Source organism: Homo sapiens, chromosome 13 (genome assembly GCF_000001405.40).
Source record: "Homo sapiens chromosome 13, GRCh38.p14 Primary Assembly".
In the NCBI taxonomy this organism is placed as follows: Eukaryota; Metazoa; Chordata; class Mammalia; order Primates; family Hominidae; genus Homo; species Homo sapiens.
In genome coordinates, this window is record NC_000013.11 from 75,549,484 (window position 1) to 75,576,055 (window position 26,572).

General features: G+C 37.3%; 1 protein-coding gene across 10 annotated transcripts in view, besides 5 other annotated features; it reads left to right on the forward strand.

Moving 5' to 3' along the window:
• Nucleotides 19–26,572, forward strand: part of UCHL3 (ubiquitin C-terminal hydrolase L3) — a 56,519-nt gene continuing 29,965 nt past the window's right edge. For 6 of the 10 annotated variants that reach the window (XM_011535212.2, NM_006002.5, XM_017020725.2 and 3 more), the window contains exons 1-6: nt 308–379; nt 493–504; nt 11,270–11,398; nt 17,212–17,368; nt 17,744–17,829; nt 19,977–20,024. In XM_011535212.2, the coding sequence (XP_011533514.1) occupies nt 338–379; nt 493–504; nt 11,270–11,398; nt 17,212–17,368; nt 17,744–17,829; nt 19,977–20,024 (474 nt within the window). In that variant the 5' untranslated portion in view covers nt 308–337. Of the gene's footprint in view, nt 188–307; nt 380–492; nt 505–11,269; nt 11,399–17,211; nt 17,369–17,743; nt 17,830–19,976; nt 20,025–26,572 lie in introns of those variants that run through there. The other 4 variants (XM_011535214.3, NM_001270952.2, XM_011535213.3 and 1 more) reach the window with 2 other exon arrangements.
• Nucleotides 83–202: an enhancer, noted in NCBI's record as "active region_7831". NCBI's record gives its function as "activates an Ori minimal core promoter by ATAC-STARR-seq in GM12878 lymphoblastoid cells {active_cell/tissue: GM12878}" and the evidence as "EXISTENCE:reporter gene assay evidence [ECO:0000049][PMID:35858748]".
• Nucleotides 206–766: an enhancer, noted in NCBI's record as "H3K27ac hESC enhancer chr13:76123825-76124385 (GRCh37/hg19 assembly coordinates)". NCBI's record gives its function as "activates a minimal SCP1, AML or CMV promoter by ChIP-STARR-seq in primed H9 embryonic stem cells {active_cell/tissue: H9 hESC(primed)}" and the evidence as "EXISTENCE:reporter gene assay evidence [ECO:0000049][PMID:30033119]".
• Nucleotides 206–772: a biological region, named in NCBI's record as "H3K27ac hESC enhancer GRCh37_chr13:76123825-76124385".
• Nucleotides 583–632: an enhancer, noted in NCBI's record as "active region_7832". NCBI's record gives its function as "activates an Ori minimal core promoter by ATAC-STARR-seq in GM12878 lymphoblastoid cells {active_cell/tissue: GM12878}" and the evidence as "EXISTENCE:reporter gene assay evidence [ECO:0000049][PMID:35858748]".
• Nucleotides 693–772: an enhancer, noted in NCBI's record as "active region_7833". NCBI's record gives its function as "activates an Ori minimal core promoter by ATAC-STARR-seq in GM12878 lymphoblastoid cells {active_cell/tissue: GM12878}" and the evidence as "EXISTENCE:reporter gene assay evidence [ECO:0000049][PMID:35858748]".

Consider the following 26,572-nt stretch of genomic DNA (forward strand, 5'->3'; position numbering starts at 1 on the left):
CATGCGTAGAACGCGAGCGCTCGGCAAGGCTCGGCTCGGAAGAGTCCAAGCGTGAGGGGAGAGGGCTGTGGATTCAGATACTGTTTTTCTCCCGAAATAGGAAATTGGCTTATTTTTTTCTCCTCGGCAGCATCTTAATTTAAAATATGACACTTGACCTACGGCCCTGCACGGAGCGGTTAAGAGGGTGAGAGGCCCGTCAAACTCTTTTTGGTGTTTAGGCGCTCCTCCTCCGGGCGGTGTGTTGGGAGGGCCCAGGTCAAGGCGCGCGTGGGCGGAAGCGGCGGCGGCGGCGAAGGCGGCGGCTGTCAGAGCTGGAGGGCCGGGCACCGCGGCCATGGAGGGTCAACGCTGGCTGCCGCTGGAGGCCAATCCCGAGGTGGGCGCGCTTCGGGGCAGCCCTGGGCCGTGGGCAGGTGCAGAGGGAGCCGGCTTGCTGCCGCGAGTCCACGGTGGTTTGTCTCTAAAGCGTGTTCTCTGTTTCGTTTTCAGGTCACCAACCAGGTGAGTGAGGTGTCTGTCGCTCGGGACCTCGGAGTCTTTTCTGTCTGCTCGGTCCGCTTCCCTGCTGGACTCCACCTCCACGCTTCCAGGGATTCTGGGATTTAATTTCTTGAGGGCCCCTCTTGTTCGGCTTTACGCGGGTCCGCCCCTTTCAGAAAGGGCCATCTCGCTGCCACCTGGCTCCTGAAGATTCTCCCACCACTCCTCTGGTCCCATTCTGCAGTCACCACGTATCTTGGGGACTCCGGGTCTGAGGTTTGGAGGGACTTTTACCCTGTATTCCTATTCCCCTTCCTTCTTCGTTTTGCCTCCTGTTAGTGCCGATTCCATAATTTTCCTACCGGTGTACCTTTTGGATGACTAATTTGCCCACACTTCCTGACTCCAAGCTTTGTAAACTCGCCCACCCAGTCCTTGTAATTTCATCCACCGCCTGCACTATGAAATCATCTTCCAATCATCTCTTGCCCCATGAAGTCACTTTTCTTCCCCGCCACGCCCCCTTTATCTTCCAGTCTTTTAAAGCTGGACATTTAGTTGCTGTTGTATCAAAGAAAGCTCAGTTTAATAGTTCCCACGCCATTCTTTGCAATCTATAGCAATTTAAGTTCCTTCTGGGTGTTGGAGGTTGGGGGTTGGGGAGGGAGGAGGGAACATCTCCCAGCCACTCAGAAGAGTAAGTGCTACCAGGTATAAACTTTTGATCTGCTCAGGTGTGCCTTATTTTACCCTGTTTTTTTTTTTTTTTTCATTCTCAACAGCTCATTTCTTTTTTACTGCTCTCCTAGTTTATCATACTCCCTTTACCTCCACTATCTTCCTTCTCATCACCAAGGAACAATTCACCGTGTTCTTAAAAATATTGGTTTTTGGTTTTCAAAGCTTGTAGCAAATTCCCTGGACAAAGAGACATCCTCTGTCTTGCTCTCTATCTTAGGGAGGAAACATTTGATCTTTCACCATTAAATATGTTAGCTTTAGGTTTTTGGTAAATGTTTTTTAAATCAGGCTAAGGAAGTTCCTCTTTTCCCCCTAGTTTGCTGAGAGTTTTTCTTATGAATCTATGTTGACTTTTCGCAAATGATTTTTCTGCATCTCTTGAGATGATCATTTAAGGAAGAAATAATACCAATTCTACATAAACATAAAAGAGGGGAGACGGCCAGGCGCGGTGGCTCACGCCTGTAATCCTAGCACTGGCGCTCTGGGAGGCTGAGGTGGGCGGATCACCTGAGGTCAGGAGTTCGAGACCAGTCTGGCTGGTGAAACCCCGTCTCTGCTAAAAATACAAAAATTAGACGGGCGTGGTGATACACTCCTGTAATCCCGGGTACTTGGGAGGCTGAGGCAGGAGAATCGCTTGAACCCGGGAGGCGGAGGTTGCATTGAGCCGAGATTGTGCCACTGCACTCCAGCCTGGATGACAGAGCAAGACTCTGTCTCAAAAAAAAAAAAAAAAGACACTTCCTAACTCATTTTATGCTAGCATTATCCTGACGCCAAACTAGACAATTCATATTAAGAAAACTGCAAATCAGTATCCCTTATGAACATGGATGTAAGAAATCCTCTACAAAATATTAGCAAATAGAATGCAGCAATAAATATATAAAAAGTAACATATGACCAAGAGCAGTTTATCCTGGTGTTGCAAAGCTGGTTCACCATTCAAAAATCAATGTAATTAACCATATCAATAGACTAAAAAACAAAACTTTTTAGATGATGTTGATTGTTTTAACAAACTAAGTTTGTGTAAGTAGGAACTTACGTCCTGTGATTCAGCTGCTAGTGGACCTTGTTTCTAGGGTGTCTTGAAAAACTATCAAACACATTAATATTTTAGGGGCACCTTTTTTAATACCAGTAATCTGAACAGGAGCTGGTGATTCTTTGGTGATTAAAATATTCATGGTTTTCTGCTTTTCAATCCAGTTGAAAGACAGTAAACAAGCAAACAAGTCATTAGCATTTATTATAAGTACAATAAGAAAAAGAACATAGTGCTTTGATAGAGACCATCAGGGAAAATGTAATACATGGAATAGTGACAGGAGACCTTTCTGAGATGATATAAACAGACAAACAATGTTATTTAGTATATGATTGTACATTATATCTGGCATGCTTTGGCATGATTTAGTTTGTTTTAAATTGATTTTTTAAAGAAATAATGTGCTTTTAGTGGGAGAATGGGCAAGTATGTAAGAAACGGTTATAACTAAAAATTTTGTGGTTGTTTCTTTATTCTCTATGTTTTAGTGGCAGAACCAAGAATAGAAGATGGATAGAAATTTAGTTAACTGACTTAGAATTTGGAGAATGAATAAACCCTAACAGCAATATCCATCCCACTCTCTTTTATTTCCTCAACCTAATGGAATGGTAGGATCTTGAACTCACTCTGTTACCATCTGGTAATTGCATGTGTTGTTATTATAATCAATGTGAGCAAATACTGCTTTAGGCTCTGATGATGCCTAGTGTTGTATAAGAATGGCCATCACATGTCTACTATATGCAGATGAGTATTAATTGTTAGACATTAGCTAGTAACCATGTGTCTCAGCAGATGTGGTAGACAGTGATTTCTCTTGTTGGTTAGTATGCTGTCAGCCCTTTTAAGGATACTGTGTTATGCTACAGGTAGGACTTAATCAGAATAAAATGAGTTAAGTGATCAAAAAAATTATTTAAACATTTTAAACTCTACTTTATTTACCTATGCATTTAAAGGGGTAAATGCAGCTTGCAGCTGAAAGTTACAGATAATTAAACATCAAGAATTACAACATTTATAGAGTGTGATATAGGCAATTATTATTATTTATGACCGTACTAAATCTTCATTGTGATTATTTTTTGTGATTTGAGTACAGTACAACCACATTATGTATATTTTACATATTGTTGTGCTTCAGAACTAATGATTTTTGTTTATATGGACCCCTCTCCACCCCAAGGATTATTATTCCTACTCGTGATTTTATTGAGGAGGCAAAATATTTTCTAGCGTAATACCGAAAGGGAAATAAATTTACTTTAGCATAACTATTCTATTTAGCCTGTATGCTTAGAGTTAGAAAAAGAATTAGAGGTCATCTGCTGGCTTATTGCCTTAAATAATCACAATAAATAAATCATATAAATTCTCATAAGAATTCTCTAATTAGTAGATACCATTTTAGGAAAAAAATCTTTGTTATCCTGTCCTCCTTGAGCTGCTGCCTTACCTGTTTTCCTTCTTTGTAAACTTTCCACAAAGAATTGTTCATAGCTGCTGCAACTGCTACCTCATCTCACATTCTTTTCCTTATTCATTCCTGTGTAGCTTGCTTCTGTGTGTACCATTTCGTAGTAACTTTTTTTGTCAAGTTCACTAATGATTGCCACTTTGCCAGATCCAGTGATCACTTTTCTGTCACCATATTTCTTGACCTTTCAGCAGCATTTGGTAGAATAGCTCACTCCATCTTTATTGAAACATTATCTTTTCTTGGCTTCTGTGAGAATTCTGATGGTCCTCTATTTTCCTAATTGCTTCGAAGAGTCTCTGTTGCTAGATCATCTCCCTTCCAACTTCTAAGGAGCGCCTCAGCCACTTCATCCTAGACTGCTCATCTTTTTTATGTGTTTTCTTGCCCTAGTAATGTTTTCTGTTGTATAGTTCTAATACCATCAATTGTCACATAGATGACCCCATGTTCCTTGAAACCCTAACATTGCCACCAAATTGGAAACCTGTATATTCAGCTAACTCTTTGGTATCTCCATCTGGATGTCTTATAGATACCTTAAAGTTAATATGGCCAAAAAAGAAATATGGGTTTTCATCTTCCCATCTCTGCTCTAAACCCTTTTCTTCCCCATCTTCCAAGGGCATAGCCATCCATGCAGTGTTTGAGGTGATGAGTTGATGCCGTTGATTCTTCTTTCAGATTGCCATTCCAGAGAGGCCGTAGTATCTTGATTTGATTCTTGGATTGTAATCTCTGCTTTGCTATCTACCAGCTCTGAGACCATGGACAGTTATCTAACCTCTTTGTGTCTTAGTTCCTTAATTTCTTTCTTTCTTTTTTCCTTTTTTAAAGACAGGGTCTTGTTCTATCTCCCAGGCAGGCTGGATTACAGTGGCACAATCATAGCTCACTGTAACCTTGGAATTCCTGGGCTCAAGCACTCCTCACACCTCAGCCTTCCAAGTAGGTAGGATACAAGCTTGCACCATCACACCCGGCTAATTTTTGTATTTTTTGTAGAGACAAGATGGTTTTACTCTGTTTCCCAGGCTGGTCTCAAATGCCTGGCCTCAAACAACTAGTTCCTTCATTTCTTATAATCTCTTCTAATCTTGTAAGATCACTATAAGGATCAAATTACTACATATAAAATATGTAGAACAATGTCTTGAACAAAGCATGCTCTCCATGAATGTCGGCTATTTTTAATATTCTATTTCTCATTCCTCAGATCTAATTGATCTGCAACTCTTATGGACTCTTCTTGCAAAGGCTATTCCAAATACGGCTATTCCAAATATGGCTATTCCATTTCAGCTGCCACAGTGCAAGCCACCATCCTTAGCTTGGACAACTATAGTAGGCTCCTAACTAGTTCTTCTGCTTCTCCTTTTGCTTCCCTAAAATCTAATTTCCATATGCACCCAAAGTGGCCTTAAATAAATGAGAATCACATCTTATGACTTCCTGCTTATCATACTCTACTGGTCTTCCAATGCTTGTCCTTAGAAGATACTTGAAACTTTTTTGTTTTTTTAAACTTTTAGCTTCAGGGGTACATGTGTAGATTTGTTATATAGGTAAACTCATGTCACAGGGATTTGTTGTACAGATTATTTCATCACCCAGGTACTAAACCTAGTACCTAATAGTTATTGTTTCTGATCCTCTCCTCAGCCTTCACCTTCAGGTAGGCTCCAATGTCTGTTCCTGTCTTTGTATCCATGTGTTCTCATCATTTAGCTCTCACAAGTGAGAACATGCGGTATTTGGTTTTCTGTTCTTGCATTAGTTTGCTAAGGATAATGGCATCCAGCTCCATTTCAAGCTTTTATCATGGCTGAATGAGGAGGTACTGCCCATCTCTGACCCGCTCATGCTGTGCTGCAGTCTTCGAATGTGGAGTCTGTTCCTGCTTCAGAGTCTTTGCACTTGCTCATCCTTTGCTTGAGTCATCCACTCCTGTTTGTTTCATGGTAGGTTCTTGTCATCTGTGGCTCAAGTTCAAGTCATCTCATCAGTGAGTCTTTGAGTACACAGCTAAATTAGCCCCCCAAATCTGTACTGTCATCCTCACTTGTTTTATTTTCTTCACAGTACTTCCCACTTTGTGAAATTATCTTGTTTATGTGTATACTTGTTTATCATGTGTATCTTACCACTAGAATATAAGTTCTGTGAGAGCAGGGATGCGTCTGAAGTATGAGAACGGTGCCAGGCTCACGGGGCCATCAACAAATATGTAGTTGTCAGATGGAAGAATGAATAGATCTTATAAAGCTGCTTTCCTGCTCCAGAAGATCTCCCAACATTATCTTTAATGCGGTCATGAATCCTTTGCCTAGTTCAATGAGCAGCATTCTATCTCTTAAAGTGGTTTAATTTTTTATTATAATAATATATAAGTAGAAGAATTATATTTCTTTTATTGAAACAAAATCTGCTTTCCCGTAACTTTCTCCAGTTGTCTATCATTCTCATTGAAACCATAGAGTAAATCTAATTGCTCTTTAAAAAACTCTTTAAATTAAAAAAATTTATTTCTTTTTGAGATGGAGGTCACACTATGTTGCCCAGGCTGGCCTCCAGCTCCTGGGGTCAAACAATTCTGCCACCTCAGCCTCCTGAGTAGCTGGGACTACAGGCATGTGCCACTGTACCTGGCTCCCAATTGCTATTTTATGATATTACTAAAAATATCCAGGGACAGGGATCATAGTAATTTAAGTCCTCTCTGAACATGCTTAGAAACTTTAGCTGTGATGTCTTCCAGAACCTTATCATACTGGTCACCTGCCTTTGGGCTTTCTTTTCTTGGTCATTGACTTTCATAAAATATGCCTCCTATAGGCATATTTTCTGCTGAGTAATCTATGTCGAGTACAGTGGGCTATTACATTATCTTAAATGATCCTTCTTTTAAAGCAAACTAACATTGTATCACCTTTGTTGGCAATTTTGTAGTTAGTCCATATTGAGCCTGCAGTGAAGTAAACTTCATTTTTTCTTAATCCACACATAAAGTGTTTTCAGTGTTTCCTCATTATGTACTTTAATAATTATTCTGTCTCATTAAAATTTATTTTTGCTAGTTTCTACACTGCCATTTTCTCATTTAACTAATAGTTATTCTACTTCTACATTTAGCAGTTAATACTAGTTTACTGGCAGTAATATCAAGTAATTGCTAGGTAAGTATAATTTTACATCATAATTCAAATCATTAATAAATTAGTAACAGGGCAGAATCTCTGGCTGCCCTGAACAGACCATTAAAGACCAGAGGAAGTGGCTTTAAGAACAAATTTGAAAGGAAAGTGAATTTTATCTATTTTTTTAATTTATAAAATCAGAGTTTTTGTTATTTGACTGTCACCTAAAGAATGAGGAAGAATTTGTTATAATTTAGGGACAGGAACGAACAGGTTTTTAAGACTCGTTTGTGTGTCTAGGTTTTTAAGTCTAGTTTGTATGCAAAAACCTGGAGGGAAGAGATGGTTATAGACAGTTTGAAAACTCTCAGGAGTTCATTGTGGCCAAGTTAGAGAATAAAGTACCAAAAAGATACTCTGGGCAGAGAGAAATGAAGCTGGAAAAGTAAATAGGTGCCATAGTGTTCAGATCCTTGCATGTGAGTTCTGGCAGGTGGCCTCGAAAAAGCACTTAACCTCCCAGACGTAGTTTTCTTATTGGCTGGTAAAAGGATACACTGGGTTGAGTGCAGTGGTTCACAGCTAGTGAGCACTTTGGGAGGCCGGGGCCAGAGGATTGCTTGAGTGTAGGATTTCAGACCAGCTTGGGCAACATAGTGAGACGTCTCTACTAAAAAATAAAAAAATTTAGCTGGCTGTGATGATGTATGCCTGTAGTCTCAGCTATCTGGGAGGCTGAGGCAGGAGGATTCCTTCAGCTCAGGAATTAGAGGTTGCAGTGAGCTGTGATTGTTGTCACTGCACTCCAGCCTGGGCAATGGAGCAAGACCCTGTCTGAAAAAAAAAAAGGAAGATAAAATGAAACCTGCCTTGCCATGGCAGTAGAGGTGAAGTGGGTACTGCTCCTAGCTCCTCACATACAAGGGTCTCAAAACATATTTACAAATAATTTTAAATATTCTTTATCTAGTGAAAAATTTGTCATTGGACCATAGAATAAAAAGAATAAGTTGACTGAAGATTTTTTAACAGCCAAATACTATAATTTATTAATTATTTTTCTCAATTGGCCAAAATTTTAGAGGCATTGTGAAAATTTGTTGAGTTAGTCAGAGGTTTTTTTGGTTATTTTATTACTCAATATTTAAGTTTGAAAAGCCAGAAGACTGGTGATAGAGGTTATGAAACCTTTTATCCTGCTTGATGTAAATGGGATGCTTCTAATTAACTGTGTAGAGATGGCTTTGCAAATGCATGTATAGATAATTATCTTTGTGAGCAGTCTGGAAAAATATTTTTGGTATAGTTTTAAGACCATCATTTTGTGTTTTCTCCCAGTTTTGTAAATTTAAATAGAATACATATGTGTATCAGTTCTATAGATTTGTAACTTACAGCTACATATAATTATTGTAAAACTAATGCTTTTATAAAATACTAGAAAATAGAAAGGTGGATTCACACCACCCAAGCTAACTGCTAACATTTTAGAAAATTTCCTTCCTATCTTTCTGTATTTGCATATGATCATTTCAAACACAGGGTTTTTTTTTTTTAATTGTAAAAGTAGGACATTTTAATGATTTTTTTTTTTTTTGAAGACGTGAGTGGTAAAAGTTGACCCTCTTCTCTACCCTTTCTCCATTTCCCAGAGGTAGTCTTTATAGCTGCTTTTATTCTTTGTATTCAGATAGCTTCTGGTGAGCCTGACTCATGGCAATCTGGAGTCAGGATCTAACAATATATTCAGTAGATATTAGTTGCATTGAATTTCTTTATATCTATCTCATTTAATTGTTGATATGAGTAAGAAGTTAAAAAGCATGATTCTGGTTAAAATTTAATCAAGTTATGATTTTATCTACTATTGGATCATTCATTATGTCCTCAGTTTGATACTAATTGGTATCACTACAGTGGCTGCGTTTGGTTCCTAGTACTTTTTGTACTTGTTAGCTTTGGCTGACATAGAGTAGATTTGCAGTGAACTGATTTACAGTACTTGCTGATTTTGTCCAGACCTTTCACTAAAATATTCTAACTGTGACTTTTAGTTTGCAGCACAGATGTAAAATTGCTCTGTTGTATGTACCATCGTGTTTTATAACTTTATAACAGGATGACTTTGTGGGTACATAAAATTAACAAATAAATTTAAATTCTCTTATCAGGGTTCATGATACTTTTCCTTAAAAGGCAATTTAGGTAGTCTTCTGATTTGATTAATGAATGCTAGGGTTTTAGATTAGGAGCCAAAGGTATCTTTTCTACTTCTTTTCCTCATTATACAGAGGCTTCACTGATGTATATAGACATACAGATGGCTAGGTTATCTACTAAAGTAGAGATGTAATCTTTAGTCAGTTCTAGAAATATACCTTGGGTGTCTGTGATTCAGCCATGTACAGTGCTAGGCAATGAGATTAAAAACATTGAATAAGACACAGTTTTTTCCCTTGACTTGGCAGTTAATTTTTATCCTTTTTGGTTTTTAGATAGAATTGAATACTGAAAAAGCATAGACTAGGAAGCTTGCAGGAAGTGGAGAAAGGAGCAGGAAGTAGTTCGAAGTGCTTTAGTGAACTATAAATAGAACCAAGTAAGAATGGATATAATGTAGAGGAGCCCATTGATCTCCTCAGCCCCGGACTCTTTTTTTTTTTTTTTTTTTTTTTTTTTGAGACGGAGTCTGGCTCTGTAGCCCAGGCTGGAGTGCAGTGGCGCAATCTCTGCTCACTGCAAGCTCCGCCTCCCGGGTTCATGCCATTCTCCTGCCTTAGCCTCCCGAGTAGCTGGGAATACAGGCGCCAGCCACCACGCCCAGCTAATTTTTTTGTATTTTTAGTAGAGACGGGGTTTCACCGTATTAGCCAGGATGGTCTCGATCTCCTGACCTCGTGATCCACCCGCCTCGGCCTCCCAGAGTGCTGGGATTACAGGCGTGAGCCACCGCGCCCGGCCCTCAGCCCCGGACTCTTATAGGGCATGTGACTTGTTCCAAGAATGAACCTAATCTTTGCTGAACACATTCTTCTAAGAAAGTTTTTATAAATCACTACGTTTCTTATTAAACATACCTAGAACCTTATTTTTGACCAATGATATCATTAGCAAGTAGATTATCTTCTACAAGCAGAGAAATGAAGGGATAAGGATAGTTGCCCTTTAAACAGGAAGGTCTTGTCTTACAAAACTCAAATGCATGTGAGATGAATAGCACTGTTTATATACGTGTCATGGCTTCCACTGGTTTTGCAAGACCTCATTTGATGATCTAAGTACATGTGATCATTCTTCAGGGAGAAATGCCTATGGCACCTTTTTTGTTTGTTTTTAATTTCAAAATTTCAGATGTTAGACCAGCAAATACTATAATGTGTTCTTGAGGTAAGATATAGTGATGCATTTTTAATATGATTTTTGTTTCCTCTATTCCTTTTTTCTATCATCTAAAACTTATTTTGTAATGATGTACTTAAAAAGTTATCAGCTTCTTTCGATATAAAGTTATTAATTGTGAAAATGACATTCTCATTTTTTCTCTATGTGATAGATTAAGGTCTGACATTTTATTTTCCTGTGACATCTTAAGAATTGTAAAAAAAACACTAATTTTTTGTTACAGTTATTTTGCCAGATATAAGAGAGGCAATGAAGTTAAGTAGGTTTCATTGTGTAGTAGAGGCCAGGAAGCCAGTAGTTTACTTCCTATATCCAGCATTTTCTGTTGTTCATACAATGCATTAGATACATTTTTGGCTTATATTACTCTTTGCTCATTGATACAATTCATGGCTATCAATCTATCTTTAAACCTCAGACATCATTTTTGGTAAATAGGATAAACTATGTTGATTTTCTGATAAAATATTTATTTACTATAACTTAAATGCCTCTCCTTAAAAACCAAGTGCTGGAAATGAGTTTAACATATCAACCAAGCCAACTTATATGTATTTGATGAAGTCCAGGCTTATTAAATTCAATTCCAAAGAAATGGAGTTTGAAAAAAGAGGTTTTATTTCACATGTTATGAATGTTAAATGTTTGTTATGTGCTATAAATAAATTGCTATCTCTTCTCACCCTATTCATAGAAAATCTGCTTTACTACCATTCTGCCCCCCTAGTTTTACTGAAGTATAATTGACAAAAATTGAACATATTTAGAGTGTGCATTGTGATGTTTTGATATGTGCTGCTTTACTGCATTCCTACTGAATGTCAGTTACATTTGTATTTTATCCCTTTATAGGTATTAGATACAGAGTACATATTTGTTGATCATTTCCCTTTTAACACTATGTATAGTATACTAGTTTTCTTTTACCAACTAATGTTCCATTGTTTTTTTTTTCTTTCTTTCTTTTACCAGTTTCTTAAACAATTAGGTCTACATCCTAACTGGCAATTCGTTGATGTATATGGAATGGATCCTGAACTCCTTAGCATGGTACCAAGACCAGTCTGTGCAGTCTTACTTCTCTTTCCTATTACAGAAAAGGTAATTGTTATGTAAAATAGAAAGTTTCTGGTAAATACAATTTTTGTTTTATTCTGTCTTATTTTTTGAGGCAGTATCTCGCTCTGTTGCCTAGGCTGGAGTGCAGAGGTGTAATCATGGCTTACTGCAGTCTCAACCTCCCAGGCTCAAGCGATCCTCCCACCTTAGCCTTTCGAGTAGCTGGGACCACAGGCATGTTCCACCACACCTAGCTGATGCTTGTGTTTTATTTTTGTAGAGACAGGGCCTCACCGTGTTGCCTGGTCTGGTCTCCAACTCGGGCTCAAGTGATCCTCCCGCATCGGTCTCCCAAAGTGCTGGGCTTATAGGCATGAGCCACTGTTCCCAGCCCAATTTCTTTTTCTTCTTTTTTTAATTTACAAAGTTTTTGATAAATACAATCTTTAAGAACAAATGATCCCCTTCTTGCATAAAATTAGGCAATCTAGTCAGTAAAGAAATCTTAAAACTTTTTATTAAAGAGATGATATTTCTATTTTGATGACAGTAAAGTCCTAGGTTAGTGCTTTAAGCTTTGGTAAATTTTCTTCTTTAATAAAAATTTGGTTAGTTTGCCTCAGCTGTGTTTTGATGTCACATTTTGATTTATCTGTTTTAGAAATTTTAAGTACTAGAATAAACTTAAATACAGTTTTTTCAATATATATATATATAAGGAATCTTCTTTGCTTATTTTAAGTTGGTAGGGGAAACTGATAATGTAGGTTACATTATTTTCAAAATAAACTTGAATGGGAATCACTAAGCTTAAATATATTTTAATTGGCAGCTTTAGGGTGTGTTGGGGATTATAAATAGCTGTTCTTTGAGCTCTGTATTTAAATTCAAGTCTACATATTTTAGTCTTTTTTTCTAGAATGATATATGTGTATGTTTCTGTGTGTGTGTATATATGTATACGTATACATACGTATACGTATATACGTACGTATATACGTATACGTATACATACGTATACATATATACATACGTATATACGTATACATATATACACACACATGCACATATATATGTATAGTGGAGCCAGAACTTTTAAGTGCATTTTATAATAGATTTTGAGGCTATATCCTTCTGATTTTTATTTTTAAAATTAGAAACAGTAGGATGATTGCAGTAGTTATGAAAAATGAAGAAGTAAATGGGAAGATGTGAGAGAAATATGTTGATGATTTGTCATATTTGTGCTCAGGTCATCCTATTCTTCAGGACTAAATGGAGCCAAATCCCACAGGATTTAAGACTTTGCTTAGTCCTGGAAATTCCTGGATCATTTTCTTTATGCTATAACAAATTAGCCTCAATTCAAGATAAATTAAATAACATTGAAAATTTTTTCTCTTCTACTTAAGGGTTCTACAAAACAAATTATTCAATAAAAGAAATGATATTTCTTTGCATTTACTATTCATAATAGAGAAATTTGGAGTTAGGAATTTCTTACTGATTGTCTAGTATTAGACCAAACCCCTACACAATGGTAAGGTTATGATTACTGACATTTGTAGAAGAGTTGAGACAAAAACTTAAGTTTACTCTCTTTTAATACAATGTTACTTTTACCTTTTTTGATTACAAAAATAAGCCAACAGATAACTATTCCAGGACCCCAGTTGTAATGAACAGTAAATAATTGAAAAAAAAATCAGTTGCCTAAAGCTTAGGGTTTCTTAGCTGAGGTGATACAAATAGGAGTTTTTTTGTCTGAATTGGAAATTTCCAAACCATTGATTTTTTATGACTTTTTTTGTAAAAAATAAATTAGATTTGATCTCTTTCATTTAGTGAGTCATCAGCATTAAAAAGGCATATTATCCTTATCAATAGGATTTAATTTAGTAGATTATCAGAGCTAAAAACTTGTCCCTGTTGAAAGGAAGAACACAGTTCTAAAGTATTTGCGTAAGTAAATTTGTACTTACATAAGTAGAAAATGATGTAAGTAAATATATAAGTAAGCATAAATACTTTACTTATATAACTATAATAACATGTAAGTAGAGAATATAAATAGCATGTACTACTTTTAGATGTCTTACAGTTTTGTAGATCCCTATTTCAGCTTATAGGTGATATATTGCAAAGTTATTAAGAGGATATCTAGTGCATTCTTTAGGAGCTGCAAAGTGTTTGTCTTTGAAGTTCCAATTTAGAAATTGAATATGTAGTTGTGAATGACTTAAGCATACTAATAGCAAAGGAACTGTCATGGGTACCTCATTATCCTTTATGTATGTATGTATGTATGTATGTATGTATGTATGTATATATATGTTTATGTTTACTTATTTTTTGAGACAGCATCTCACTCTGTCGCCCAATCTGGAGTGCAGTGGTGCGATCTCAGTTCATTGCAACCCATGCCTCCCAGGTACAAGTGATTCTTCTGCCTCAGTCTCTGGAGTAGCTGGGATTTCAGGCGTGTGCCACTATACCTGGCTAATTTTTTGTATTTTTAGTAGAGACAGGGTTTCACCATGTTGGTCAGGCTGGTCTTGAACTCCTGATTTTGAATGATCTGCCCACTTTGGTCTCCCAGAGTGCTGGGATTATAGGTGTGACTCATTACCCTTTAAAGTCAATCATGGTGGGTTTTTAAAAATAAATTTTATTGTGTATATTTGAAGTTTACAACATGATATTGGGTTCATATACATAGTAAAATAGTTACAATAGTGAAGCAGATTAATATATCTATCATCACATAGTTACTTTTTTTGTTACAAGAGCAGCTAAAATCTTATTTAACAAAAATTTCTAATGCAATATGATTTTATTAACTTTAGTCTTCTACTTGTTTTTCCTATACATCTGCTATTTTGTGTCCTTTGACCTACATCACATCACATCCCTGCTAACCTCTGTTTCGTTCTCTGTGTATTTGAGCTTTTCCATGTATCAGTGATATTATACAATATTTTTCTTTCTGTGTCTGGCTTATTTCACTTAGTATAATGTCCTTCAGGTTCATCCATGTAGCAAATGTTAGGATCTCCCTTTTTTAAAGCCGAATAATATTTCTGTGTGTGTGTGTGTGTGTGTGTCTATATCTATGCCACCTTTTCTCCCAACCAAGTACTAACAAGGTCCAACCCTGCTTAACTTCTGAGATCAGATAGGATTGGGTACATTCAGGGTACTATGGTCATAGACTATACCATGTTTTTATCCATTTAGCCATCTATGGACATTTGGTTTGTTTCCATATCTTGGCTATCCTGAGTAATGCTGCAGTGAACATGGAAGTGCAGATATCTTTTTTTTTTTTTGAGATGGAGTCTCGCTCTGTTGCCCAGGCTGGAGTGCAGTGGTGCGATCTCGGCTCACTGCAAGCTCCGCCTCCTGGGTTCGCGCCATTCTCCCACCTCAGCCTCCCGAGTAGCTGGGACTACAGGTGCCTGCCACCACGCCCGGCTTATTTTTTGTATTTTTAGTAGAGACGGGGTTTCACCATGTTAGCTGGGATGGTCTCGATCTCCTGACCTCGTGATCCACCCGCCTTGGCCTCCCAAAGTGCTGGGATTACAGGTGTGAGCCACTACGCCTGGCCTAAAGTGCAGATATCTTTACAAGGTAGAGATTCATCTCCTTTACAAGGTGATTGTCTCCTTTGGATATGAATTGCTGGGTCATATGGTAGTCTATTGTTAATTTCTTTAGAAATCTCCATACTGTTTTTCATAATGGCTGTACCAATCTGCATTCCCACCAACAGTGCACTTGGGTTCCCTTTTCTCCACACCCTCACCATTATTTATTATCTCTTTTTGATAATTACCATCAATGATAGTGTTGTGTTGTTATCATTTGTTTTGAGACAGAGTCTTGCTCTGTTGCCCAGGCTGTAGTGCAGTGGTGCCATCTCAGCTCACTGCAACCTTTGCCTCCTGGGTTCAAGCGATTCTCATGGCTCAGTCTCTGGAGTAGCTGGGATTACAGGCATGTGCCACCACACCTGGCTAATTTTTGTATCTTCAGTAGAGACGGGGTTTCACCATGTTAGCCTGGCTGGTCTTGAACTCCTGACCTCAGATGATCCACCCCCTTCAGCCTCCCAAAGTGCTGGGATTACAGGTGTGAGCTACTGCGCCCGGCCAGTGATAGTGTTTTGAATGTGTTCTTTGTGATAGTGCGGTCCAGCCAGTAAATCATAGGCAAAGAGGCTATAAATTTTATTTCTCTCTGATATTTATGTCTCTTGGCCTTATTTTTTTTAATTTTTTGATCTACCATAATTTCTTTTTTTCCTTTAGTTGCTTTGTATCATTTTAGGAATTTTTCCTACACATTACATCTTGAAATTATCAAATCTTATTTTGCTTTGTCATCAGGAACATTAACAACAGACTAAGCTGTAGAACTGTAAACTTTTCAGCATAAGACCTTAACATACTGAACCTTTCCAGTTTTTTATCAATCGAACTTACATGAATAATGTCCATTTATTCTGATAGTGTTACTTAAAATGTAATTTAGAAGCACAATAATAAAATTCATATTTTGAGCACAGATACATTTGTTGTTAGAAGCAGTCTATTATTTTTTTCTTCCATAGGCAAGAGATAAAAGAAGCAGTTTCTTAACTACTTGTAGGTTTTCTATAGACATCGTTTGTTTCTTTTATTGCAGGGGATCAGGAAAATGTTTCTGTAAAGGACTAGATAGTAAATATTTTCAGCTTTGCAGGCCTTTAAGTGTCTGTTGCAACTATTTGACTTTGCCTTGTAAACAGCCATAGACAATACATAATGAAATTTTACTTATGAAAAGAGGCAGTGGGCCAGATTTGGCCTGTAGGCTGTCATTTGCTGACCCCGCTCTATTGGAAGCAGAAAGTTATGGAAAAACTATAAACAAAACAATAAAATCATCTTTCTCCTCCCCACCTCACCGATTTTTTAACCTTTTTGCTATTTTTTACTCTTTCTTACTATTAGGAAACTGAGATACAGAGACATTAAATAATTTGCTAAAGTCACACAGCTAATAACAGCTGAGCCAGGACGTGGGCCCAGGCAGTCAGCTATAGAGCCCACATTTTTGATGCTTATTATTATACCCTATTGCTTTTACAACCAGTTATTATAGATAATGGTTAGTGTCAGTTACAGATTATATAATGTGAATTTTATAAATATGCTATGATTTTCCAAAAGGAAAAATATTTTTGCCAATGATAAACAATATAGAAACGTAACAATTAGCAAGTAAAAGTTCTCCAGTAATCTCTTGGCCCAAAGATAACCTCTATTAAGTTTTTGCACACCCTTTCAGACTTTCCAATGTGTATATACATATTTTAAAAACATAAATGGGAATTGTTATTAATATAAACTGACCTATAACCACACTTAGTTGTGGACAAAGTTCTAAATCAGAATATGTAAATCTATTATGCTTTATAGTATTCTATTACGATATGCCATAATATATTTTAACCAAATCTCCATTGATGTCTTAGACCAATCTCCTACAAAGGAAATTGCTTATTGGAGTGTATGAGAATTTAAAATGTTAATACATATTGCCATATGCCCTGTAACGTGATCGTACAAATACATACTTTTAATAACAGCATAGGAGAATGCCTTTTTCCCCATACCTTCACCTTCACTGGCTACTGCTATTCATTTTTCAATCTTTTGTCAGTCTGGTAGGTGATAAATTAATTCTTTTATTTTAAACCCTTTCTTTCATAATAATATTTTTTATCATTTGCATTTTTTCTTTTACAGACTGAGTTTTTTAATATGTTATTTTCCACAAATACACTGTTGACTTTTTTTTTTTAATAGTATGAAGTATTCAGAACAGAAGAGGAAGAAAAAATAAAATCTCAGGGACAAGATGTTACATCATCAGTATATTTCATGAAGCAAACAATCAGCAATGCCTGTGGAACAATTGGACTGATTCATGCTATTGCAAACAATAAAGACAAGATGCACTTTGGTAAATGATTTTTCATTACTGCATTTTTTCCCCCTTAAGATACAAGTTAATTGCATTGAGCAGTAGGTGGTGCTCTAATTCTTTCTTCAAACTATAAAATAAAGCATTCCCTGCTTCCTTGATGATGGGAATGTATATACTGTTAGAAGAAATATTAATCCTTCTCATTCTTTTATATTGTTGACTAATAGGGGTTAAACAAATGGACAAATATTAATAATGTAAGGCTTATCATTTATAACATGATCCTTACATTTCTAACCTACCAATGAAAGAATTTAACCTGAAAAATAGTAGCATACTTCTAGTATTTTCATATATTGGTCTCTCTGCTGTATCAAGCCTTTTTAATTTTATCTTCTTTCATATTCTCAGAATCTGGATCAACCTTGAAAAAATTCCTGGAGGAATCTGTGTCAATGAGCCCTGAAGAACGAGCCAGATACCTGGAGAACTATGATGTCGGTACCTTCTTTCCGTTTTGATCTCATGTGGGCAAAAGTTTGTGGGATTGTAGATGTGTTTGGGGGTTTTGTCTTGAAACCATAGTTTTGAGCAATTATGGATTTTATTGTATCCATTAAGAAAAGCCTTTTGTACTTTTCAGATAACTTTGAAATATCCACAAATGCTGATAAGTTGCCATTTCTTTTCTATGTTCAGAGCTGACTGAATGGATAAAATCAGTTTGATTTACAAATTTTTTTTTTTTTTGATATGCAGTCTCGCTCTGCCGCCCAGGCTGGAGTGCAGTGATGCCATCTCTGCTCACTGCAACCTCTGCCTCCTGGGTTCAAGCAATTCTTGTGCCTCAGCCTCCCAAGTAGCTAGGATTTCAGGTGCGTGGCACCACACCTGGCTAATTTTTGTATTTTTAGTAGAGACAGGGTTTTGCCATGTTGGTCAGGCTGGTCTCGAACTCCTGGCCTCAAGCAGTCCCTCCACCTCGGCCTCCCAAAGTGCTGGGATTACAAACATGAGCCACCGTGCCTGGCCCTGATTTACAAATTAATAAAATATCTTATGATTGACTATTCCTTACTATTCCCTCCCTAAAATAAATAAATATATACCTGCCAGTACCCTGTGTATCTTTTATTGGGAATTTGGAACCAGGCTGAAGATGAAAGGAGAAAGCAAAGGTTTAAAGGTAGACATTAGACCATACTGTAGCTATTTCATCAGTGTAATAAAGGCCACATAAACTAGGCTATATATATAATATAGGTTATATTTAATTCAGATGATAGTGATTTTACCACTTCATATAACTGTTCTGAAATGGTTTTTAAAATTTATTGCTTTTGGAATCAATTTTTCTTTTGAAATCTTTTGACCTTTTAATAACATTATTAAATAGATTGTAAGTTCTTTGAAATTAGGCGTATAATCTACAAATTATTTGGTTAGAACAATGCCTTATGTAGAATTTGTGCCTGATAAATTAATTGGTTTGATTATGTTGTTATGCATTCCAATATACTTTGAGAATTTTAAATTGTTTTTTTCTTTAAAAAAAAACTGGAGACTTCATAAAACATCTTTATTATACATAAAAATAAACATGAAAATCAGTACTCTTACTAATGAGAGGTAGATAAACATTAATATTTTTTAGGGAGTGTATATATATATACACAATTTTTTAAACAAGAATTTGATCATACTGTAATACTGTTTTATAACTTGCTTTTTTCACTTATCAGAAACGTATTACATACCAGTAAGTATATATTTGATATTATTTAATGGCTGCATAGCTTTCCATTATGTAGTATTGTATTTCACCAATAAATTATTGTTAGAAATTTAATAGTTTTTCTTCTTTTTCACTATTTTAATAAATACTGCAAGGTACATCATTGTAGCTAAATCTTTGTAAATATCCTTAATTATATATAATTATGTACAATTATATGTAAATATATAAACTCCTAGAAGAGAAGTTGCTGGATAAAATAGTTTGCATGTTTTTAAGGCTTGGATATTTATTTATTGCCAAATTGCTATTTATAAAGATTGTACTTTCACCTGTAATTTACTATTGTGCCCATTTCTCTGGATGTTTGCAAATAGTGGGTACTATAAGAGTGGTTTTTTTTTAGTTCAGGAAACTAAATTCTGTAGCTTCTGATAAATGCATGAGTTGTGCTCCACATTTCTCAATTGCTGACTGAAACTGCATGATTAAACATAAATACAGCCAGAGCTGCAGAGGAGCATGGAACCTGGAGAAACAGATGAGATAAGCTTCTTTAGTCTCTATCTGTGAAATGCTTACTTTATTCTAGTCTCAATTGAATAAAGTGTTAAGTGTTAGTTCTAACAACTGAATAAGTTAAATGGCCCCTACTTAGAGCCTGGAAATTACAAATAATCAGATATTCAATTTCCTAAGTTTTCAGAGATTTACGGGTTACACAGTACAGCAATTCATTTGATTACCCAGATATCATTCTTAAATATCTAGTACTAAGCTTTTCTTAAATTTCCTTCAATTTGTTGTTTCTTTAGAAGACTTTAGGTGTTAAAATTTAGCTTTGTTGTCTTCATTTAAAAAGTTGAGTATAGGCATTTTTTCCAATGAATACCTTTATTCTTATTACAGGCCATCCGAGTTACTCATGAGACCAGTGCCCATGAAGGTCAGACTGAGGTATTTCACATTTTTTCTAAATTTTTCTTGCTATAAATTTAACCATATAAATTTCTTGCTGTAAATTTAACCATAGTATTATTGTAGGACATAAAGTTTTAGAAAGTTACTTGGCTTTTTGTTTTTTCCTTTGAGAGAATTTGCTTAAGCAAAAGCAGTCATAAAGTAGCAAAAGGACATGTTTTGACAAGCTGTTAAGATGCTGCTGTCTGCTGTTTCAGTTCATCTAATCATTTAGAGATAATGCAGATTGTGTGCTGTTTGTGCGGCTTGGTGGCCTGTGTCTTCCCTATCAGATTCCTGTGAGGTCCAACTATTTTGAGAAAAATACCTGCACTGTTGTACAGTTAAATAGCCTGTGTCTTTATTGTGTCCTGCTTCCAGCAGAAAACCACATCATTTTCTTTGCTCAATAAATTTGTTTCAGGGTAATGTAATGATCTTTACCATCTTTACCCTGTTAGCTAGTTCAGCTGGGTTGCTTTTCCTTTCCTTCTCTTGCCTCTTTTTTCATTTTTTGGTTTCTTCATTTTTCCTTCCATCTTTTCTTTCTTTCTTTCCTTCCCCCCAGCCCTGACTGTATCACTCTAAGAGGAAGTTTGTCAGAAGGTATTTTAGTCAAAAAGAATTTAACTAAAGCTGTTTGGTATGTTTATATCACATTTAAGGGTTAATACCAGAGAATTAGAGGTTTTCTTCTTTCTTATCCCATATGTGACTTGAAACCACACTTTTTTTTGTTTTTTTTGAGACAGAGTCTTGCTCAGTTGCCCAGGCTGGAGTGCAGTGGCTGATCTTGGCTTACTGCAAGCTCCGCCTCCCGGGTCACTCCATTCTCCTGCCTCAGCCTCCCGAGTCGCTGGAACTACAGGCGCCCGCCACCATGCCTGGCTAATTTTTTTGTATTTTTAGTAGAGACGGGGTTTCCCCGTGTTAGCCAGGATGGTCTCGATCTCCTGACCTTGTGATCCACCTGTCTCAGCCTCCCATAGTGCTGGGATTACAGGCGTGAGCCACCTCGCCCAGCCGAAACCACACTTTTTCATGTAAAAGATGACATTGCCTTTATACTTAAAAAAACTTGAAAAGAATACTTGATTTAAAAATCATTGATTTTGGCTGAGCATGCTGACTCACACCTGTGCAGTCCCAGTGCTTTGGAAAGTTAAAGCAGAAGGATCGCTTGAGGCCAGGAGTTTGAGACCATCCTGGGCAACATAGCAAGACTCTGTCTCTACAAAGAGTAATAAAAATTAGCCAGGTGTGGTGGTGCATGCACCTGTAGCACTAGCTACTAGGGAGGCTGAGGTGGGAGGATTACTTGAGCTCAGGACTTCGAGGTTATAGTGACCTATGATTGCACCATTACACTCCAGCATGGGGGACAGAGCAGGACCCTGTCTCTATAAAATATATATATATATTGGTTGCTCTAGGCGCTGCTTTCAAAGGTGTGGATTATTGTTTTTGACTAAGTTTATCCATACACAGACACATAAGAGGCCCGTCTAAAAGTTTTTAACACCAGATTGGAAATTAATGAAATGCTGTTTTGTATTGCTTTATATGATCCTGAACATATTCATAATCTTCACTATGCTTTGATTTTTTGTTTGCAAATTTATAGTGTTAAAATTGGTGATGATGAGGATCAGCGTAAGTTTATTGTTAAGATATGAAGACAGTTACTTGTAATAAAGCAATTAAATGCTTTAATACATATTCACTACAAAAAATATTTATTTTTGCCATACTTCTCTTGCCCCATTTTTGGAGTTTCATCCAAATTATGGATTTACATTTAAACTTCTTTTTAAATGATCTTCATGTCTCTTTTTTCAGACCTAACCGCCTTCATTCTTTCCAGTCTTGGATGCCTGTTAGACATCATCTGAATGACCTCACTGTATTTTAGAATGCATTTTTATTTGTTTGAGCTTATTATCTATGTCTTAAACTTTTTCTTCCCTTTATTGTTTCTGTTTCTTACAATAGTTCCACCATACTTTTTCCCACTGTAACTATCTAGGACAAATTCATTAACTTCTGGTTTAGAAGATCTGCTTTTTATGCAGATTCTCAGTTTTTATTCCAGTTCTCATTCATTTTCACACACTTCTGCTGGATTCCCTTTCCTGAAATGTACCTGAATCAGTTGGCTGCTAAAATTTTTCTAGGGGTTTCCTAGTGTGTAGAGCAGTGATTCTCAAGATGGAGTGCAGATAGAAGTTAGGATTTTCTGGAGGGCTTTTTTACACTGCTGTGTACTCCCATAAGAATTAATCTTTTCTGCTCCTTTCCCATCTCCCACAGTTTAGAAACACTACTGGAGTGAGCAATATTTTTTATGTATATTATAACCCTAAAATGTGTTGGAGTGAAAAAAAAAATGTTTGAGAATGATTCCTCAAGCCTGTGCAGTCAGTTTCAGGCTCTTTAACCCAGCTGTATTCAAAGTTTTCCTAACCCTGTCTTGTCTTGTCTTGTCTTGTCTTGTCTTGTCTTGTCTTGTCTTGTCTTTACTTTTCCTTCCTTCCTTCCTTCCTTTCTTTCCTTCCTTTTCTTTAACTTGTCTTTCTAACTTTAATTATTTCTTTTTAGCCATCCCTTATTTCCTTATTTTATTATTTCTATTCTTCTTGCAGTACTCTCTTTCTGAAAATATTCTTTCCCTCAATCTCTTGCACTTCTTCTATCCATTCTTCAAGACTCAGCTTAGTACGATCTTCAGAATGAAGCAGTTCCTGATTATCAGAACTGGTTATATTTTATCATTTATATGAACTCTTTATATGACTACTCCAACTATTTGCATTTTAGCTATTTCATATTCTCTTTCATTTTTTAAGATGTACTTTTTTTCACATTTTAAAAACTCTAAAATTAGGATGTATCTTACAGTTGATGTCATAGTTTACTTGGCGTTATTCCCATCTTAGTGGTTCACAAAATGGTGTGTCATGGAACCAATGGCGCCTTAGTGTGATGAAGTATGGTATCTTATCTCCCTTTCTGTGGCTCTTAGGCCTAGCATTGGCATCTGATTCATTTGTGCATGTTCCAAATTATCCAATACTGTTCCTTACACATAAGTACAACATATGTGTATTAATTAACCAGAATTAGCTCAGAACTGTCCTTGGTAGTGTAAGAAATAAAAAAAAGTAGGGGGTTAGGGGTGGCAAATCTTAGTTTTCTGTAGTCCCCCGAGTAAACAAAACATATCCATTAGCCATTGTTTCCAAATAGGACAGCATTAACATTTTGGAAAGGGTTCAATTCTTTTTTGTGCGGGACTGTTTTGTGCACTCCAGGGTGGAATATACTGACCTCTAGTTGCCATATGTTAGTGTCTCCCAGTTGCTGAGAGAACAAAAATCTGTATGTTTCAAAATCCAGTTGCCATCTGGCTTTAAATCCCTGCTTCAGGGACTTTTAATATTTTTCTGATCATCTCATTTAAGATTCATCTCCCTGCCGGGCATGGGGGCTCACGCCTGTAATCCCAGCACTTTGGGAGGCCAAGGCAGGCGGATCACCTGAGTTCAGGAGCTCAAGACTAGCCTGGCCAACATGGTGAACCCCGTCTCTACTAAAAATACAAAAATCAGCTGGGCGTGGTGGCATGTGCCTGTAATCCCAGCTATTTGGGAGGCTGAGGCGGGAGAATCGCTTGAACTCGGGAGGCGGAGGTTGCAGTGAGCCGATATCCCACCACTGCACTTCAGGCTGGGCAACAAGAGCGAGACTCTGTCTCAGAAAAAAAAAAAAAAAAAAGATTCATCTCTCATCTATGGGCTTAAGAGTGTTCGGTGTATTATTATCTCCATTGCTGTTTGTATTCCAGCCTACTGATTTTTTTGTCAGTTCCTACAAAATACATAGGTCTTTGCTGTCTGTATTAGTTTGCTTGGGCATTCATCACAAATTGTTACCAGGTGCCTTTAACAACAGAAATTTATTATTACACAGTTCTTGGGGCTGGAAATCCAACAGCAAAGTGTCAGCAGGGTTGGCTTCTACTGAGATGTCCCTTCCTGGCTTGTAGACTACCACCTTCTCACTGTAGCCTTACCTGGCCTGTCCTGTGTATTCATATGGAGGGGGTGTGGAGAGAGACGGGGAGAGAGAGATCAATTGATCTGATGTCTCTTCCTGTTCTTATAAGGATACCAGTCCTGTTGGATTAGTGCCCCATTCTTATAACCTTAGTTAACATTAACTACTTCCTTCAATGCCAAGTTTTCAAATATAGTCACGTTGAAGGTTAGGGCTTCAACGTATGAATTTGGCAGGGGGGACACAATTCAGTCCATAACACCGTCTTTGTGCTTTCTAACAACCCAGTACACTTCCGGGTATACCGCTGCTCTTTGCAGAGTTGGAGACTTCTCATCTTTCAGGTCTCACCTTAAAAGTCACTTTTCAGGCTGGGCGCGGTGGCTCACGCCTGTAATCCCAGTACTTTGGGAGGCCGAGGCGGGCAGATCACAAGGTCAGGAGATCGAGGCCATCCTGGCTAACACAGTGAAACCCCGTATCTACTAAAAATACAAAAAAACTAGCCAGGTGTGGTGGCGGGTGCCTGTAGTCCCAGCTACTCGGGAGGCTGAGGCAGGAGAATGGCGTGAACCTGGGAGGCGGAGCTTGCAGTGAGCCGAGATTGTGCCACTGTACTCCAGCCTGGGCAACAGAAGGAGACTCCATCTCAAAAAAAAAAAATGTCACTTTTCAGAGAAGCCTTCTTTCATCACTGTTAAGTAGGTCCTTCTGTATTTTTTTTTATGATAAAATCCTGTTTATTTTCTTCCTGGCACTTTAAAATAGTCAATAATAAGTTTTTTCTTCCTTGTGTATATTTGTTTATTCTGCTAACTAGAATGTAGGTCCCATGAGGAAATAGGCCTTGTTTGTCTTGTTCGCTTTGAATCCCCAAGACAAACTGGACATATATAGGCATGTATAAGAATTACATAGTTTGAAGGTAAGAGCACAGGATATAGGTTTGTATACTGACTCCACTGCTTATTAGCTTAGGCAGGATACTTTCTTCAGCACAAAATAGAAATAATGGCATTTACCTTATGGGATTGTTGTGAAGACTAATGAGTTAATTATATAAACTGCTTAGAATAGTACCTGGCATTTAATGGGCATTCAATAAATATTAGGCGGTAATTTTATTTTACTAGGCATCCAGTAAAATGAATCTGAATGGCAGAAGATGAGGCTGAAGTAATAGGGTGAAGCCATATCTGGGGGGCTTGGATTTTATAGATGGAGAACCACCAAAGATGGTACATTTACTTTTCAGCCTACTGAGTTTAAGGTGAGTTTTTTTGGGTCATATGTGTAGGAGTCTAGAGCTCAGGCGAGATATCTGGAGTCTTTGGTATTTGGGTAGTAGTTAGAACCCTGAGAATTCTACAGAGGGAGAATAGTGGTAGACCAACAATAAATCCTTGGGGCATGTAGGTGTTGAAAGAGTGGGTAGAGGAAGAGGAGCCAATAATAATATAGTGTAATAACAAGTAGCTTCATCACTGGCATCACTGGTACTCTCTATCAGAACGTTTTCATGGGAATGGAGGAGGCAGGAGCCTTATTGCATGCTGAGATTTGTAGACTAAATGAAAAATCTGTAAGTTGAGTCACCAAAATACAGTAGTCTTTTTCAGAAGATTGGCCATAGCATACTGCTCTAGAGTAATTGTTTACCTACTTTTCTCCATCCCACCGTGATTGTCTGGTAGATCAGCTAATACAGAAATCTGAACAGTAGCCCCACCTCACTTATGCTTCATTAACTTACACTGAAAGGTATTGCTTTCATCTTTCGCTTAAGATTAAAAACATAAAAGAAGAATGGGATATGAGGAAACAATGAGGAAATTAAATTATTAGTGGCAGAGAGTGTTTTCTTTTTTTCCATTGATTTTCCACTTGCTACAACCACCATTTTGTACTTTATTCTAGATAGAATAAAATAGTGTTATTAGAGTTGCTACAGAAGTTTGATATGTGTCATTTAATTCCAGTACCAGCCCTATGAGGTATTACCATTGTCCTCATCCCCCTTCTATAGATGAGGCAATTGAGGCACAGAAGGTTTTAGTTACTTGCCCCAAGGTCACATATCTGCTAAGTGTAGAGCTGGAATTTGAGCTGAAACCGTCTGGCTGCAGAATCTAGTCCTAGTTCCTCTGTCCTCCTCCTGTCACCCCCACCTTCAAACAAACACTTTCTTTCTTTTTTGTTTTTTGAGACGTAGTCTTGCTCTGTCACCCAGGCTGGAGTGCAGTGGCATGATCTCGGCTCACTGCAACCTCTGCCTCCCTGGTTCAAGCGATTCCCCTGCCTCAGCCTCCCAAGTAGCTGGGACTACAGGTGTGTGCCACCACACCCAGCTAATTTTTATATTTTTAGTAGAGACGGGGTTTTGCCATGTTGGCTAGGCTGATTTTGAGTTCCTGGCTTCAGGTGATCTGACTACCTCGGCCTCCCAAAGTGCTGGCATTACAGGTGTGAGCCACCGCCCCAGCCAAACA